Source organism: Homo sapiens, chromosome X, assembly GCF_000001405.40.
Source record: "Homo sapiens chromosome X, GRCh38.p14 Primary Assembly".
NCBI classification, from domain to species: domain Eukaryota; kingdom Metazoa; phylum Chordata; class Mammalia; order Primates; family Hominidae; genus Homo; species Homo sapiens.
In genome coordinates this window covers 105752244-105770455 of record NC_000023.11, presented here as the reverse complement: position 1 = coordinate 105770455, position 18212 = coordinate 105752244, and the positions used below count along the sequence as shown (strand labels likewise).

The 18212-nt window shown below is 36.7% G+C and overlaps 1 protein-coding gene and 1 long non-coding RNA gene across 5 annotated transcripts in view; one reads left to right on the top strand and one right to left on the bottom strand.

Moving 5' to 3' along the window:
* LOC105373303 (uncharacterized) overlaps positions 1 to 18212 on the top strand; it is a 135721-nt gene that overhangs the window by 26897 nt on the left and 90612 nt on the right. The gene's annotated exons all lie outside the window — the stretch shown is intronic.
* The window catches only part of IL1RAPL2 (interleukin 1 receptor accessory protein like 2), a 1201631-nt gene continuing 1186045 nt past the window's right edge, over positions 2627 to 18212 (bottom strand). For both annotated transcript variants that reach the window (NM_017416.2, XM_011530905.3), the window contains 2 exons: positions 15109 to 15279; positions 2627 to 3492 (listed from right to left, as the gene is read on the bottom strand). In NM_017416.2, coding sequence (NP_059112.1) covers positions 2795 to 3492; positions 15109 to 15279 — 869 coding nt within the window. In that variant the 3' untranslated portion in view covers positions 2627 to 2794. The remainder of the gene's footprint in view (positions 3493 to 15108; positions 15280 to 18212) is intronic.

Below are 18212 nucleotides of genomic sequence, written 5' to 3'. Positions count from 1 at the left end.
TCATATTTTTGAATGAGTGATTGAAAGTGGACCAGATTTAGAACTAATTCAATTAAAGCTTAGAGGCAGTGAGGACAGACATCTTCTTTTCAGGTACCATCCAGCCACTTTTTAGAGTTTCCATAGTTATATTGGAGCCCATAGATTATCAATCCCGCCATATTTCATATTTTGCCTAATTAAACCCATGTACACATTGCCCATATCCTTGAGCATTGTTTGTTCTCATGCAATTTTAATTTCCTATTTGTCTATGGTTTTGTACATTTCTCATTTGTCTCATCATTTCTTATATTTTCCGAATGTTTCGCCTTAAAAATAACCTGTTTTAAAAAGTATACATTCTTGCATACAATAACATAACAATAAATTTGTTATCATCGATATATGATAACTAGTTCTACCAGTGTTTTTCTAGATTTCCAAAATAAATTTCAGTGAAAAATTGAGAAGAAATGTTTTTCCCCTCTGTGAATACAACTAGGAAAATACTTCATGTTCTAGACTAAATACTTATTATACCCTTATGGGCTATATCTTTTAAAAATCTGAGATGAAAATTAAATTTTGAATTGCCATCTAGAAACAAATTTTTATAGATAGTGTACACATTCGTTCCTGAAAATTTTGTAGAAAAGGTTTCTTGTCAAGTTCCCCAGCACAAGTGTGAATGCTCTGTTTTTGAGTACCTACTAGTAGTGAAAGGACACATTGTGGCCAGCCAACTCAAATTGCTACCCACATTTAATCATTGTAAATAGAGTAAGCAGAGAGACTCACGTTATATTTTCAGAACTTACATGCTCAATACAGAACTATTAGTTTAAAAATACCACCAAACATTCATTTGAATTAATCTAGATTTCTGTGAAAAATAATATAATAAAAAATACAATTGGTCACTTAAACTTATATTACATGAGTATATGAGTTCATGCAGATTTTTAACTTAGTAATTACACATAGCATTAAAGAACAACCACAGTAAATACAACTTTATAACACTTGGAAACAGTTCAGAATTGATAAATTTTCATTTTGAAAGACTTACTTACAGATTTTACGGAACAAAATTATCTTTCTCAGTGGAAAAAGTACATCTATAAAACACCGACATGTGTTGAACAGGACTTTTCAAAGGAGCAACTAATTGTCCCGCTGTGAAATGAACATGTAGCACTGCTAAGCTTTCACCTACTGTTGGTGCAGAATGCATTTTCTGAATGGCTGGATACAGAAAAGCAACAGAGAAACAAGTACTTTGAACAAAACTCGTGGATCACAGAAAATCAATAATGAAAAAAGATCGAAAGAAATAAAGCATATTATCTGGTGTTCTCTTATACATTTGAGATTCACAATTACAAGGGGTGGGCAAATTATTCATTTTTACACACTGTGTACATTTGTCCTTGTTTTATGTTTGTCCAAGAACATGATTTAAGAACTATTGCAAAATGCCAAAATTGACCTTGATTAACAAATGATCCTCACAGGCATCTAGGTGGAGAGCACATCTAATTTGATTAATTGGAAAGAACATAAAGTAGTAATCCATAATAAATACTAGAATAGGAGCACATTCCTTACAGCAAATAGGCAATACTTACTTAGATTATTTACAAGGATTTTCTGGCATGGTACAGTCACAGTCACTATGTGATGATGGAGAAGTTTAGCCTATCAAATATATACTCTTCGAAGCACCAGGAGTAGACATACTTGTGCAGGAGCCTTGCACAGATGGCCATATACTATATATACAGAATAGTCTGTTTTATAACTACATTGCCGGTGAGAAACTGTGCAATTGCTGCTCTACCACTAGTAAACATAAATCATTTAGCACTTCATCTGCGAATATTGTTGCAGTACTTCTTTCCAATTGCTGACACTTGCAGTCTATGTATTTAAATTCAAATGTCAACGATGTTGAAAAAAAGCAGGACGATGTCCATATCTTCATATAATACTTATAGCAGGTCAAGGAAAAATTCCAAATGTGAATTTGTTAGCAAACAATGAAATGTGTACTTCAAAATGTGTTTTCAAAGTTGTAAAACTTTTGGAATTAGAAAGCCACAAGGGCTGTTCAAAATCATCCTAAAAGAACTCACAGCCTGTCTATTCATTTGCGTAAGAAATGCATATTGTTTACCTATCTACCAGTTTGCCTACAGAAGATGTGATTCTCTAATAAAACTAAAAGCTGTTATTATGAGCTGTTGATTTAGTCTACAGAAAGTGTCCATTATGTTGAAGAAGTTCTCATTTTTTCTCAACTGATCTTCCTCTACAAACAGTCTTCTAACTGGAGTGCATCAACATTTCTTTCTTGATAATTCCTGAGTTTTCAGAACTCTATAGAAGTCATTTTTTCCCTTAAACTTGGTTCAGAATTTTCAAATTCAATTAAAGTCTTTAAATTTTCTTTATTTCAAATACCATGTGAATACTGAAATCTTTTTAAATATGGGCAAGACAGCTCACCTACTAAGCATGCAGTCCATGTGCTATCATAAAAGCTACTCTAAGACAACAGGATTTTAAAATTTTTGTTTTCAGGAAGAAATCAAAACTGTACATTGGAACAAGGTGCCATACTACAAAAGCAGGTCCTTCTTTCCCCCCACTATTCTGGAAATGTAAACAAAAATATTTAAGTATAAAAGCCATTTTTGTACCTTTTTCTTCAAACACTTTTTTAACACAACGTTATTAGGTGTACTTTATGCTTGGTATAACAGAAATTCTCTATGCTTATCTAGCTGTTCAGAGGAATTCAGATTTTTCACTACCAAATATCACTGGTAAAGCTAAGCTCTTTGGAGGATAAAGGCAGCAAAGAACTGTTCCTGTGAAATTCCTGGGTATCTTTCAGGGTGTTATTAAGGGGTAGCTGTCCGTTGAGTAGCGTCAGAGGCAGGTTACAATAAGTATGGTGGTTGCCTAAGGAAGGTACTGGCAAGGTCGTGGCTGGTATCTCATGTTTATAACCTCTGCAACAGTGCCTGATTTGCATTGAATCTGAAGGGTGGAATTCAGGGAGATCAGCCTGAGATGACACCAGAGTGGCTGAAGTACTGGTCATGGCAATAGAGGGTATAGGCTGGAGTTCTCCAAAAAGTCCTTGTTCTGCGGAGTCCAGAACATGGCACCGAGGTAGCATTTCTTTTTTCTTGATGGGCATTTCATATACTAAGTGCTTCCAAAACTTAGAATTTAATTTGCTGCTTTTGGATCCCTTCCACTTGATCAGGGACAGAAGTTTGATGCTACGCTTTAGTGATTCCACTTCCTGGCAATTCACTTTCCCTTTTAATTCTGTACACTCAATCAAAATCACTTTGATTTCTCCACTGACTAGCATGTTATGGAGTCTGCTTTCCAGTTCGAAAATACTCCATCCCCGTCTGAGAATATAGTCTGGAGTTAGCACGATAATAAGTCTTCTGCTTTGTTCAACATATCTTGTGAGATCTTCCATGTATGCTACAAATCACAGAAAGAGAGAAAGAGTAAAACAAAGACATTGCCAGTCTCTAAAGCATCAGGTTTGCACACTAGTATAGCAAAGATCCAGTCTCTCACTAAAGTCCATCACATTTTCTTTTCTTGTATGGTACATTCCCCTCCTTAAAACTGAAAAAAAAAAAAACTGCTTATAATCGTTATTTTCTTTTCCCTCACCATTACTTACAGTGTTTTGTTGGCTAACATAAACTCTGACTTCTTCAGAGCTTAGGTGTATTTCAGTGATTTTTATTTATGTAATCATTTAATTCAAGTCAGGCTTCCAAGCTAGTACTCTAAGTGAACAACTAATCAAGGAGCCGATGAAAAGAGAAATGGATCCTTTTAATAAATGCAGAGTTACTGTATTTATGGGTTTTGTTTGCTTTTCTTCTTTAATTTTATTTTTATTAATATTATTTATTGTAATTGACAAATACTAACTGTATGTATGGCCCCTAGTTTTCAACTACTAAACAAGGAGGGGGCTATGTATACTAACTACTTGAGAGATAACTGTGATATAGAGATGGTGGAAAATCTCTTTTAGAATCATAGCTTGTTTCTCCGATTATTTCTGTCATTTGCAAACTTAGGTTCTCCATTATGCCCTTCAAACCCAGAGATAGGGAAGTGGTTTGTGCCCATGAGTTTAATTGGAACTGGCTGCTTTTGTTCCAAGGAAGAGTGAAGAGTAGAGTCGGAGGTGGGGGATGGTGTGAAATGAACAGTGAAGGAGTCTACCAACTGAAAAGAAAGTATTTGCCCTACTTTGTGGAGCAATTCTGAAAGTGAGGTGAATATGTTATCTATGGCTTTTACATGGTAGAGAAACACTCAACTAACTCCGGATTTATTTATCACATGAAATAATCCCTTTGGAATCATGCTTCCCAAAGTCTTATCTGCCAAAAAGGGAAACACACACATGTGTTAACAAATGGAGACTTAGACACAGGTGCTACACCAGAGAGCTGTCTTTACGAAGCAGAACACAAGGCCTTGTCTAATGTACAGTGCCCTCTAGCAGAAGCAGTGCTTACAGAAAGAAGCATAGCAACATTTGTCAACACAAATCTGCCCAAGGTTACAGACTGCTTTCAAGGAGTCACATTCAGCACATATTGTGGGGCCACCAAACAGCTCAGTACAAGCAATTTGAAAAGAGAAACTTACTTTACAGATGCATATTTTACAGATGCTCTCTCTTTTCTAAGGTTTTATTTTCACTACTTGGCAGCAAGAAAACTTTTACAAGTGAAAATGAGCAAACTTTCTTTATACCCTACAGATAAATAAGAAACTTTTAAGAGATACACATAGAATTGCCCATTTAACAATTTGTTGTTACTGTTCTTTGGGTTTTGACTTAATACATTTCAGGATCTTTCTCATGCAGTAGTTACAATGACTGTATCTGTCGGGATAAGGCAGTGTCTAAGAAGAGAGGGAACTTTTAAGAATTTTGATTGTTTTATTTTAGAGATTATGCATTCAGGGGAAAAAATAAGCAGTGAAATCTGCAAAAACAAAATGAAACAAAAAAACACCACAGAAATAGTAATTGAGAAGTTATCACTCTGTAATTATCACTTAGAGAACTGGTGAAACAGAAGGGAAGGAAAGGTAGGAAGTTTCAATAGAGTGGAAAAATATTTTCCCAATGTATCAACAGCTCTGACTCTTCATTTTCTTCCTTTCTTTCTGCTCCCAAAAAGAAAGAAGTTATGTGGGAAGCTTCATCATTAGAAGTTGGATCTGTAAGATACAGTAAAATAAACTATCATGCATTTTTCTCATTATTCTTTTCACCTTTCCTCCAAAACAGAACAAAACCCAAACCCAGAATCATGATATCAGTGCAGGAGTCAATGAAGATACAGTTTTACCAGGTGAATTATGAATTCATTATTAATTTTATAGAATCATTCTTCACAAAATAATTTACCAAGGGGTTACTTTGAGTAGTATTGTTCCCTAATTAATTACAGCTTGTAATTCCATTTAAAAAAATTAAACCTTGTACAAACCTTGTCAGTAACACTCTGTCACATAAAGTGTACCTCTAGGAACAACATAATTTTTATGTGTTAGTTTTTAGTCTAAATGTACTTTTATTTTATTTTTTTATTTTTTTGAGATAGAGTCTTGCTGTGTTGCCTAGGCTGGAATGCAGTGGCACAAACACAGCTCTCTGCAACCTCGACCTCTTGATCTCAAGCAATCCTCCTGCCTCAGCCTCCTCAGTAGCTAGGACTACAGGTGCCAGCCACCATGCTCGGCTAATTTTTTATTATTATTTTTTATAGAGGTGGGGTCTCACTATGTTGCTCAGGCTGGTCTCAAACTCCTGGCCTTAAACAATCCTCTGTCCTCAGCCTCAAATGCACTTTTAAACTATGCTTTTAGAAACTAAAGCTATATCTATACATGAGTCTATCAACTTAAAGAAAAGAAATTACAACCCAGGTATCCACACTTATAAGAGAAACTGTACGCACATGTAGTAATTCATTTGACTGGGATGTCATGGGCTTTGGCTTTGCTAGCTTCTTTTTGGGATGAGGAAAGGAACAGGGTAACATTTTCCCTCCATAAGTATGGTTCTCCCCTTTCATCCATCTATTATATTTTGCCATCTGACAGTAAAGCAGTATGCAATATTTAGGGTTCTTGGGGCTTCTTAGAGACTTATTAGACAGAATTTACATTTGCCCCCAGAAGGAATGCCTGTCAGTACAGGTCCCACTATACTTAGCTACACGGGGTGTGGGAGTTAAAGGGAACCTTGGAGAGAGGGAGTGGTCCCTGTCTCCTGCATACTCTACTGGCTGTGCTTATTCTGGCAAAGCCTAGTGGAGAGTTGAGGCAACCATCCAGATAATTCCTGCTGAAAACCTCCTGTAGAAGAAAAAAGGTCTAAATTATCCTGGTTTGCCCTATGTATACATTAATCATATGCACTAGAGTCAGTCAGTCAGTATATCAAAATTTTCCCTGGGTAGACACAGCCCCAGTGTCCCAAAGAAAACATGAGCCATTTGCTTGGGCCCTGAATCTCGTATTCCATTTCACTTGGTGAAAAACCAAGTGGAAGTTTTCAGATGTGAAGCCCACATTTCACTTCTTGGGATGATGATCAGTGGCTGGGCAGCAACCTCAATGTTTGAAAGCAGCTGGGGAGGTGCCTCTAAGAGCTGACTGGCTCTTAGGAAAAGAAGGCGAGACTGTGCCCTAGCTTCCATATTCTGGCTTGCTCTCTGTTTTTCTCTCTTTTTCTCCCCCATTTCCCCCTCTCTACCTCTGTCTTTATCCCTTTCTTTTTCTGCCCTTTTATTCTCTTTTCTTTTTACTTGTTTTCTTTCTCGCTCTTTCTTTTTACCTATCCCATTCTTCCTCTCTATCCTATCTCCCTCTGCTTCCTTCTTCCTTCTCTTCTTAAGTTTTCTTTTGTTGTCTTTGGGAAAATATAAGAACCTAGCCATCACAGAAAACAAAAGTAAATGAGGAAGAAATCAAATAGGTAGAGTTCATATTTTTTACTTGCTAATCTTTAGCCAGGGAATTGTTGCTGGCTTCTATCAAGCAAGTGCCCCAGTTTCCCCTTCACCCTGGGGTTGTATGTCTGCATCCAATGACTGTGATCTGGAGACTGATACATTAGGCCCATGTCCTGTTTTTGTATGGCTTGTGAGCTAAGAATGATTTATATATTTTTAAAGAGTTGTAAAAGAGAAGAATAAGAAGATATGATGCAACAGAGACCATATATAATCTACGAAACCTAAAATATTTACTATCTGGACCTTTACAAAGAAGTTTTGCCACCCCTGAATTAAAGACCAAGGAGGGTGGTTGGGTTTGGAAAAGTTCCAAATAATCTAAGCAGAAACAGGTATCAAGTTAAGACATTGCCAGCCCATAGTTAGTAGTAGTCCCTGACAGGCAGTGGGGTTTGCCCTCATAGGGTTGTGGTTTTTTGGGAGACATTTTAGAAACCTTCAGAAAACGTTTTTAAAAGCTTGTTACCACGAAGAGATAATAAAGAAACGTTTTTCAAAAAAAAAAATCCCTAAATCCACAGCACATATGAATACTCACTAAATCTTGCCTTGACTTGTTCCGGCAAATTTAGCAACTGAGTAGCAAGAATCCCTTAAAAGACTTTTTCCACATAAAAATATAAGATATCCCTTAAATAAAAGGTCACTAAGTCATTTCTTTGCAAGCTGTGGTTTGATGTAACTTGTGATGACAGAAAAGACCAAAAGGGGCTGTGTCTGATAGCCTTCTGTTTCTCTAGACCAGTCTGCGAAACCACAGCAGATTATCAGACATGAAACAAAGCCAAGTACATTTAACCTGTTCATAATCTTCAACAATTAGAGAAAGAAAAAAGTCTCCTTGAACATAGTTTTGATAGGGTGCTTAAATTGATATAATTAATTTTTTCACATTATAAGTGCAAATGAAATAAAACTTTTTCTTTTGTCTCTGCTGGGAGTTGACAGAGAGTTAGGAAAATATTCTGGAATACAATGCCTTGCCACTAGACTCTCCTTGGGATATGTACTTATTAGAGAAATGAAAAAAACATCATGCCAGTAGCACCAGTATTTGTAAAAAGCAAAGAAAGTTGCTACCTAAAGCCTTATTAAAAACAAAGCAAATTCAATTTTAAAATATCTTTCAAGGGCCATTGTATAAAACAAAATTCTAGTGCATTTAGAGGAGAAATAGAATTAGATCTAGAAAAGTGACTTAAAAGCAAATTATGCCATTCATTAACGAAGGAAAAAGGCAAACTGAAGGAGGAAATAGAAGCAGGAAGAATGGCAGCCACAAAAGAAATTGCTTCTAATGGGAAACATACACTTTTCCAAAAGAATTCAGTACTTTCTTAATTCTCAGGCCATTGAGTCTACTGCAGATGTAGGCAAGAAGGACATGGGAGAAAAAACTCTATATTCATGAATTTCTATGTGGTCTTACTCCTGCCTACTAACCATCTGATTTCTCAAACTAATCAATCAATTAGCTCCTTATAAATTATTTTTGTGTTGACACCTCCACTAATGTCAAGGTCATTATCAGCAGCATATAGGATATATTTTTTAAGAAGTTAAAAGACAGATACTTAGCCTGTAAACAAAAGCATAATTTATTACTTTCCAGATTCATATAATAGTAATTTGATATGCTTAAATTCACAGTTATGCACAGCAGCTATTATTAGTTAAAAAGACACACCATTAGGGTGAGACAGGATGCATCAAAACAGATAATACTCCATTAATTTTTGGTGAACGTTAGCTAATTTATAGCTATCAACAATATTTATAAAACCTATAGGTTAATATATCAAGACCTAAAATCAAGCCTACATATGTTTCCTATATATCAAAGAAAAATATATTATTCACCACTACATAGTTGGGGAAAATATCACACATTTGCTATAACTAGAGGCTTACAGTGGGTTACCTTATATCACTAAAAATACTATCTGAGTTTTATATAATGATTCTAAATACTAACCTACTGGCATAGTTACACACATTGACTCTATCTTGGCTGATGTTGCTAAAGATTTTAGGTCTTGATTCTGTCTCTGACAGATGTAAGATTCTGTGTCTGTTGTTTGCCATGGAGACTGAGGCTACATAATGTTAAGTTAGCCGTGTGTGTGTGTGTGTGTGTGTGTGTGTGTGTGTGTGTGTGTATAGGAAGAGTTTTTTTTTCTTTTTCTTTTTTTTTTTTTTTTGAGACGGAGTCTCGCTCTGTTGCCCAGGCTGGAGTGCAGTGGCGTGATCTTGGCTCACTGCAACCTTCGTCTCCTGGGTTCAAGCAATTCTCCTACCTCAGCCTCCCAAGTAGCTGGGATTACAGGCATCTGCCACCACGCCCAGTTAGTTTTTGCATTTTTAGTAGAGATGGGGTTTCACCACATTGGCCAGGCTGCTCTTGAACTCCTGACCTCAGGAAATCTGCCTGCCTCGGCCTCCCAAAGTGCTGGGATTACAGGCGTGAGCCACCGTGCCTGGCTGGGAGCCTTTCTAAATATGTGTGATATTACTTGTCCTACAAAAACCTTTCCTGCCCTCTCCCCTTCCAAATTCTTGGCTTGATAATTCACAGTTAGCTGAGCTAAATTTCTTAGGCAGGAGTTTTGTTCTCTATAGTATGAGGGTCCTAATTAATTTTGATTAATCATTGACTCAGCAGCTAACATGAATTTGCTGAGACCTGATGACTACAGGGAATTGTGTGTATTTACAGTTCTGAGTTTGGAGGCTATATTGCTAGTAATGAATCCTGTACTTTCACATTTCACCTGTGGGTGAGTGGGGAAGCATGACGGTGTGAAGAATCCACTCTGAATGCTGTCCACATTTCTGTCTTCTTTCTCTTCTCTCTTCACCTCTTCACAGAGAGTAGAGGTAGGGAATGGGACACATTTAGAGAAGATTGAAAGAAACATAAAGTGGAGAGTAGCAAAGAAAGCAAACCTGCAAAATACCCTCCACCTCTTTCTTTCTCTCTTCTGAAGCCCTAAAAGCTTGTAGTGTAACTAATTCTCACTGGTGCAGCCTTAATGAACATGGAACAAAGCCACTTACTACTTACAGTCTTTTCTGTGTTTCCTCCAGTACTTAAGACAATCTTATCCTGGTTTTATACTATGTTTTTTTGTTTGTTTGTTTGTTTGAGATGCCTGTTCTTTGTGCCACCCAAACAGCAGATTTCCTGAATGAAATTCTACATAATCAACTCTAACCTCTACCTCAAACTTTGATGAGAAATATTATTCTATTGACCTCAGTACATTGCTGGACATATTGAAGTACAGTTTTTTTCTCTCTTGACTTTAACATGAAGGGGATAATGGACACGTTCAATTTTATTCCATGTGAGTAAAGTTCACACAATATGTTAAATTTCCATGATTGTTCATGTCACCCCTCCCTCAAACTTTTTAGGTCACACACATCAGATTGTCTGGAAAACGATTTTATTACTCCCCAAAGACAACTTAATTAAATGGTGTCCAATCTGTTCGGCTATTAGAGGAACTAGTGGCAATGAATGCTTACAGATCCATGTACAAAAATGTTTTTTTGCATGCCTCACTTCAGAAGTGACTAGGGATCATCTGACACCAGATGTATTCTCTAGTCATTTGTCATTTCATTGTCAGCACAATCACATGGCTAGTACTAAGCATTAAAGAATTGAAGATTAGATTAGTGAGGAAAGTCTACCAAATGCAAGAATGTAATCAGACATTATACTTTTTCCCTTAAATTACTGAAAGTCTTAGGATTCCTTCATGGAAAATTGAGCATAAAGACAAATGAAAAGATAATTCGACACATGAGGCTAAATTCATGAATATAATTTAAAAAGATGTGGCCAATAAACCATAAGCATGATAATATTTTTAGTTTTCTAGTGTATTTCTTGAATGCAATCATGCATGAACAACTCACATAGGGATCCTCATAGTCTTTCTATAAATAGAAGGGGAAATTGAGGTAAAAACCTTCCAAGGATTTTTTTTCTCTTCAAAGTCCACTTAGACATCTGTAGCTTTTTCTAAAGCTTCATCCAAAACTGGTTTAATTTATAATTGTTAATAAATATTGCATATGCACCTTTCAGCACCTTACTTTCTTACTTTTAAAGGGAAACAAAGAGTACAGGATTGGGTTGTTTCTACTTTTAGTTTTAGAATGCTATTTTCTCCATCTGACCAGTGACCCTCAGCCTGATTCAATAACTTTTTACATTTTTGGTTTTTATTTAATCTCTACAGAAACACTGAGATAAGATAGGCCCAAAAGCATAAATGGTACTCATCCAAAAATGTCCCCAATCTCAGGATCTCAATTGCACAGCTGGGTTCTGTTGGTCACATGTCAGCTTCAGAGCACATCTGTTCATTCCTCAAGGATCCTCTAGGCCCCATGAACACAATGTGCTCTGTGTAGAGTAGTTTATACCACAAAAACCAGCAGCTGCATGGGTGAGAAAAATCTCTACTTCTCAAGTTTGTGTCTCTAGGCAGTTTGAATAGGGTGTTTTCTATCTGGCTTTCTTCTGGTTGCCTGTCACTTCTGACATTCAGATGCCTGTTGGCAACAAAGTTGCTTTCGCTATTCTCAGGGACAGATGTTTCTAGTCTGGGAAAAGACAGACCAAACTTTTACTGGAAAGTAAGAATTCTTGCCATATTTAGGCACCCAACCTGAGAAAACATAAGGAAGATCCTGGCCACAGGCTCAAGAATGGAAAGGTAGTCACTGCCAGGAAAATAATGTCCAGATCGGAACACTCAGTTTCAGCATTTAGGAAAAATATTTGCATTAAATCTCCCCATCTCTGCTGGTTCACAATGGCCAAAGGACAACATATTCCTGGTAGGGCATGGGTGGTACAGACACCCCCAGCTCACCTTGGAAAGTGACATCTTTGTAACCAAGGTTTCTGAGAATTCTTGGTTATATGAGAGAGAGAGAGAGAGAGAGAGAGATTTTCATGTACTTTCGAAACTGTGTACATTGGAAAGGTTTGTGTGTTGATGAGGTTGAGTTGGAATACCGTGAGAGTAGTACAAAAAGACTGAAGATACATCAAAAGTGAAGACATTAAATATGAATGGGTTTATGTCATAGATGTCATTAATTTGATTCATAGAAAATTATTGTTGTGGATCAAGAATGATTTTATGAAGTCTGCTTTCATAGTCCTCAAAGGCCTCATTGCTAGTTTTCAGAGGAAGGAGTAGTCTTAGGTCAACATGTTTTAAATGAGATGTGAGGGACAAACACAGCTTATAATACTGTAACTAGGTTTCCCCCCCAACAGGAATGTGTCTGTATTTATATAATATAAGCTGTTAAATCTGTACCAATGGTTGAAAATACAGACCACAGAAGCTTCTTTAATAGCACATATACACCAAGTCCAAAATGTTCTACTCTGTCATTCATGTGTAAATCAAGTATATTATTCATATACTTCATTGACTTCCTGAATGCATGCTAAAAATGCCAAGGAAAAACTCGTTAATCCTGACATGGTGACTGCTCAGCTAACTCTAAAATGTTGATGGAAAAGAAAAATTGTCAAAGGGCCTTTTTAAGAGCCTCTGCAGGTTACACTCGCAAATCGGAATTCAGAGAACATGAATTTCCTCGTTCAGGAAGGAAGGATTAAAATCAAACACCCTCCAGTGGTTGCATCTAAAAACTGCATAGTTGTCCCAAATGGCTTACTTGTAAAAGGAGTCTTCCTGTGCACCATTGAGGACCCAAGATCCAAGCCCCTACTCAGTCTGATTTTAAAGCATTAAAAGAATTTTCTATGGACTATAAAATCTCTGCCCATCCTGACGACATTTTTCAAACAAAATCAATAAACATCTATGAAGCATCTAATGAGCTCAAGTCTTCTGCTAGATGACTATAGGGATACAAAAATAAATGAGATATAATCCCTGTCCTCATGGAGTTTATAATCTTGCTGGCTAGAAAAGACATAAATAGATGAAAAGCTAGTAAAATTATTTTAAAATGCAAAATGTCACAGGAGTACAAATTTACTGTCAAATAAGTGATTATACATCATGAATTCTACAGCTGGAGAGATTATTATGGACTTTTCACAGAGGCAATGATATGGAGAAGGATAAGTAGGATTTGCAAAGTCATAGAGGACTAACATGAACAAATGCATTACAGGGACATACAATGTATATCAAAGGCACAGTTTGGCTAGAGTGGAAAGTATGAGTAGAGGAAGTGGTAGGAGACAAATTTAGGAGATAAATCTGGGCTGGCAAAAGATTGTATAAGTGTTTAGCTAAGGGTTATAAATTTTATCCTGTAGTAAATAGTGAATGATTCATTTGTTGAACACAGAAGTGACATGATCGAGGAGATGTACTTGATATTAGTGGGGCTGAATGGATGGGAGGAAAGATAAGGAAGATAGAGGGATAATTAACATTGAAGGAGTTAGATAATTAGGGCCTACACTAGGATGGAAAAATGAGAATGAAAAAAATGCAAGGGACACTGAATTTGGGAGAAAGACACAGAAGAATGAAAAATGACTCTGAGGTACCAGGATGTTCCTTGGAGAAACAACAAATGTAGAATAGTATTTCAAGTCGTAAAAATGGGGTATCAGGATGTTCCTTGGGGAAAAAATAAATATAGGATAGTATGGGGAAAACTGCAGAAAGAAAAGAATGAAGGACCATGATAAGAAGCTTGGGGAATTCTTACATTTGTGGAGCAGGAAAAAATAAACCAGTAAATATTGCCTTCTTTGTTCCTTTCCATGCATTTCTAAGTGTGCATACTAACGTGCACACATCAACATACACAGACATAAATGAACGCTAAGAAAAGAGATGAACAATCAAAACCCATTTGTTTCCATTTGTCTCCTGTCAGCTTAGTGACCAAGGCAGCCTGCTGGTAATCTGAATAAATGTTATTGAGGAGCAGCATGATCTAGCAGAGTGAGAACCAAAGTCAAATAAATCTAGGTTCCACTGCCAGCTCAACCATTTGCCAACTGTTTGATCTTGGACGATTTTGGGGTTTGCTTCCTCAGCATGAGGATATAAGTACCTACTCTCTCGCAACACAGGGTTACTGTAAAAATGAAATGAAGTAATGTATGTGAAATTATTTTATACACTGTCAAGTACTGGTAATATAAGCTTTTTATTTTGTTATTATCACATGTTGAAAGTAACATGTTATGATTTGTAGTTACCAGTTCAATCTTCCCCTCTCAAGGATATTAGTACTTATATGCAAATAAGTTCTAGAACTTATATTTTCCTCAATGGCATTTTAAGCTCTTCGAGAGCAGGGACTATGTCTTAGATTTCTCTGTGTTCCCCTTATACTTTACTGTGTATGTGTATGCACTCTGGATGTTAATGGGAAAAAACTACATATTTTGCCTTGAAACTGAATTTATTCTGAAAGCCTCAATATAGTCTTCAATGTGTAGCATAACTTAAAAATAGCATTCAAGCCTAGCATTCAAGTGTCTTGAAAATAATTTAAGTACACAGTGAGAGTGCTGTACCCAATGGCCTCATATACCTTTTTAAGTGGATTTTTCCATAAATCTGGAAATAAGTGACAAGGCATAATGAATAACAAGGTTGAAAGGCATAGATTCAAAGCCATTAGTAACAATAATTGTAGGTATAAGTAGACCCTCAGTGACAGAAGACCAGCTTTGCAACTGAAATATATTGAAAAGGCTTTAACTAACTTTTACAGATTTTTTTAAAAGATCATAATGCTTTTCAGGATACTAAGGCAATATAATAAAAATGACCATTATGGCACAATTTAGAAATCATACCCAAAATATTAGTGAGAATGCCTTTAAAAATATTCAGGTGCTAGAAAGTCAGAACACAGGCATATGGGAAAAATTTGGATTTAAGAAACTCTACTGTGAGAAACAACTGTCTAAATACTTGGCTCTGATGTTTGAAGCCTTCACATAACATCCTAAAAGAAACAGAACGTTTTAAACACAAAATTTGAAAGTACTTACTTCCACTTGGAATCAGGTCTCTTTCTGGGATGAAGAGTTTATATCCATAGTGTTTTTCCAGGACATCTGGCAGTACTTCAAGAGCAAACTGCTCTTCTTCAGGATTGTCACAGTCTAAAGTATCTTGGTCCACTTTTGTGTAAGAGAGATAGGCATCATATTCCTTGTTGTCTTAAACATAAAGAACAACAAAAGGGTTGTAACTATTAACAGGTTCTCTTTGAGTACTAAGAGGCAGGAATAGCACAATAATTAGTGACCGTCTTTAATAATTGGAAAAAAATAAGTCACATGCCATGTTATAGGAAATCTAATCCCTTTCAAAATAACCTAGTCATATATGAATTGAAACTTATGCAATGGGCCACCTATAGTCAGAACAGAATAAAAGAGAGAATTATTATTTGTGACTTTCAGTGACTATATGCATTTGTAATACTCAATGATGTGTGAATGATTAGCTCAGTGTGTTTGAATGCAGGACTAAATAGACCAAAGTCATGGATTTAACCCCTTTATTTTCCAGTTGGCTTGGCTCTGTTACTTGGCCACAGACTATACCTTGTTTGCACAAATATGTGCAAAAGATCCAACAGGGGCTGGGCCCTAGAGTGTGGAAGATTGAAATAATCCAGCCTTGCTCCTGGAGACACTGTTCACAGCACATGCCATAGTTCCAGTTGGTTAGTGTCATCATCTTCATATACAAAAAGCAGTTCATTACCAAATATTAGAGACAGCAGCTGGGTTTTATACAAGTGCGTTACCTGTTATTCTTGTTCAGTTCATGGCCAACTAATATGACACAAGCTTCCAAAAGAAGCCTTTGTTTCAAAATATACATCCGTCCAGTATTGCCAAATTAGATTTTCCCTCCACACATTTAGTCAGGGAGTTAACTGTGCTTTGCAAGTGTATTTTTTCCTCTTTTTGCTGTATTGGCTCAGAGCCAGTCTCTCCAGAGAGAAAATGTGCATGTATGCATACAATTTTTTTTCCTGCAAAATGTTAATGAACATAGCTACTTGAGGTATTAGTTTCTGAAGGTTTTAGATGGGCCACATCCATACTGAAAAAGTTATAGTGAGATTTTCAAAATTCCCTTATTAAAAAAAATTTTTTTAAGTTAATGTAGTGAGCACAGACTCATGTGAACTATTCGTAAACCCAGTTACTTACAAATAATAACTGCGAAAGACTGTTAAAAATTTCAGGATTTGTTTCTCAAACACATCAATATTTTCTATTAAAACATACCTAATTAGAACATATCTAAAACCTGACCAAAAGGTAATTTATAAAATGAAGCAGCCACTCATTTACTTCCAGCATAACCCACACCATGATTTCATTCTACATGCTGAAGGAGGAATAAATGATAGACATATGATGTGCTGTAGATACCCTCTTTTAGGAGTAGATGAGACCTCCCTATCTCTGAAGTAGGATTATGTTGTTCTAATTTTAGTAAGATTTTAGCCTTCACCACTCTGAAACAAAAGAAATTCTGGTTATTTGTATTAAGATGGTGCCTGAAGGAAGGAGAAAGGGTTAATACTCTTTAGCATCTTTTCTGGCTGCAAAAGGCTTCCATAAACCTTGGTTGGATTACTTGATTGCCTGGAAGCAGATGTACATGAAGGACTGCCCTGGGTAGTTGAGATCATTTCGCTTACAAGTTGGGCGCATTCCACTGTTGTGCATAAAATTCTGCTTGGAAGTGAGAATGTTCATAAGCAATGCTAATGTAAGAACCTCCTGGTAATCCTAGCACCTCTGCCCTTGTTCCAATCACGTGCAGGATACACCTGCAGGCCCCTGACTTTCTCCAGCTATAATTACTCACCTGGGACTCAGGGCTGCCGATGATACACAGCTGGAAGAATAAAATAGGCCAAAGGACAAATAGCTCCATTCACATGAGCAGAATATATTTCATTGTTCTTGATAGATAGTGTTGCTGCCTCAAACTCCATAATGTCAGACCAGACCCTGTTACTCTCTCTGACTTTGATAACTTTCCTATTTCACAAACCTCCCTAAATTGAACCACTTATTAATTCATTCAACAATTATTTGTTGAGCATCTGCAATGGCTACTTGACTTCTTTACCCATCTGACCAGACCTTCTAGACTCCTGTCCTATTGCTTGTACTATGGTTATTTGTCTTCCAAACATACTAAACTCACATATTCTTGGTTCTGTCCTTACTGGCTCCACCTATATTCTGATATTGCAGTTCAATGCTACAAAGACTTACCCCTAGAAAGTACTTCTATACTTACATTTTCTAAGATGTGACAAAGAGCATGCATGTCCTTGGTACGTATTAACACCCAACACATCTGGATTATAAATTTTACCTCGCATTCTAGAAGCACACCATTCGTTGAAAAAATGAATGCTTCTGGTTTCATTCGTGTCCCTTTAAGATGAACTAAAGGTGAAGAGCTTATGGTGGCTGGCCAGAGCAGGAAGACAGCTCTCAAAGCCACCATGTCAGATGTCCCAAAAGCTCTAGGATACCAGCTAGTGAGCCAGCAGTGACACGGATGCTACAGTTTAAATAATGCACTTCAGCCTTATGTAGACAGCCAAGAAAACCTCATGAATAGCTGCAGCTGTTGCTCACAAAGAGGAGCAAGATAGATAAAGCAAAATCAACAACATGATGCAAATAAGGTTAACAGCAAGGCCTGAAAATAGTTTCTAAACCAAAAGGCTGTTCAGCAGCACCACTTTTCTAGGCAAGGCTAATGAGCCTTCCTTTGTGCTAAATCATGCTGCCTAAGCTCATCTGAGGAACCAGGAAATAGAGCACAATGCAGACAGAACAGTGTAAGGAAGAGGGCTGGCACAGTGGTTACCATAGGTATGCTGTTCCTAATAAAGAGAGAAGTTATAAGGAAGATAACGAAACGTTTTGTAGAAGAATTTTCCTATTGTTACGTCTGTCCTTTTCTGTTTTAAAATCTGATTCGAATCCTGTTCCCTATCAAGAAGCCATTTGTGTTTATAACTCAGTTGTTCCGCAGCTGTGCTAAACAGAGTGCTAAACTCCTAGTTTCTACAGAGCAAATACTGTGTAATCTTGTTGATTAT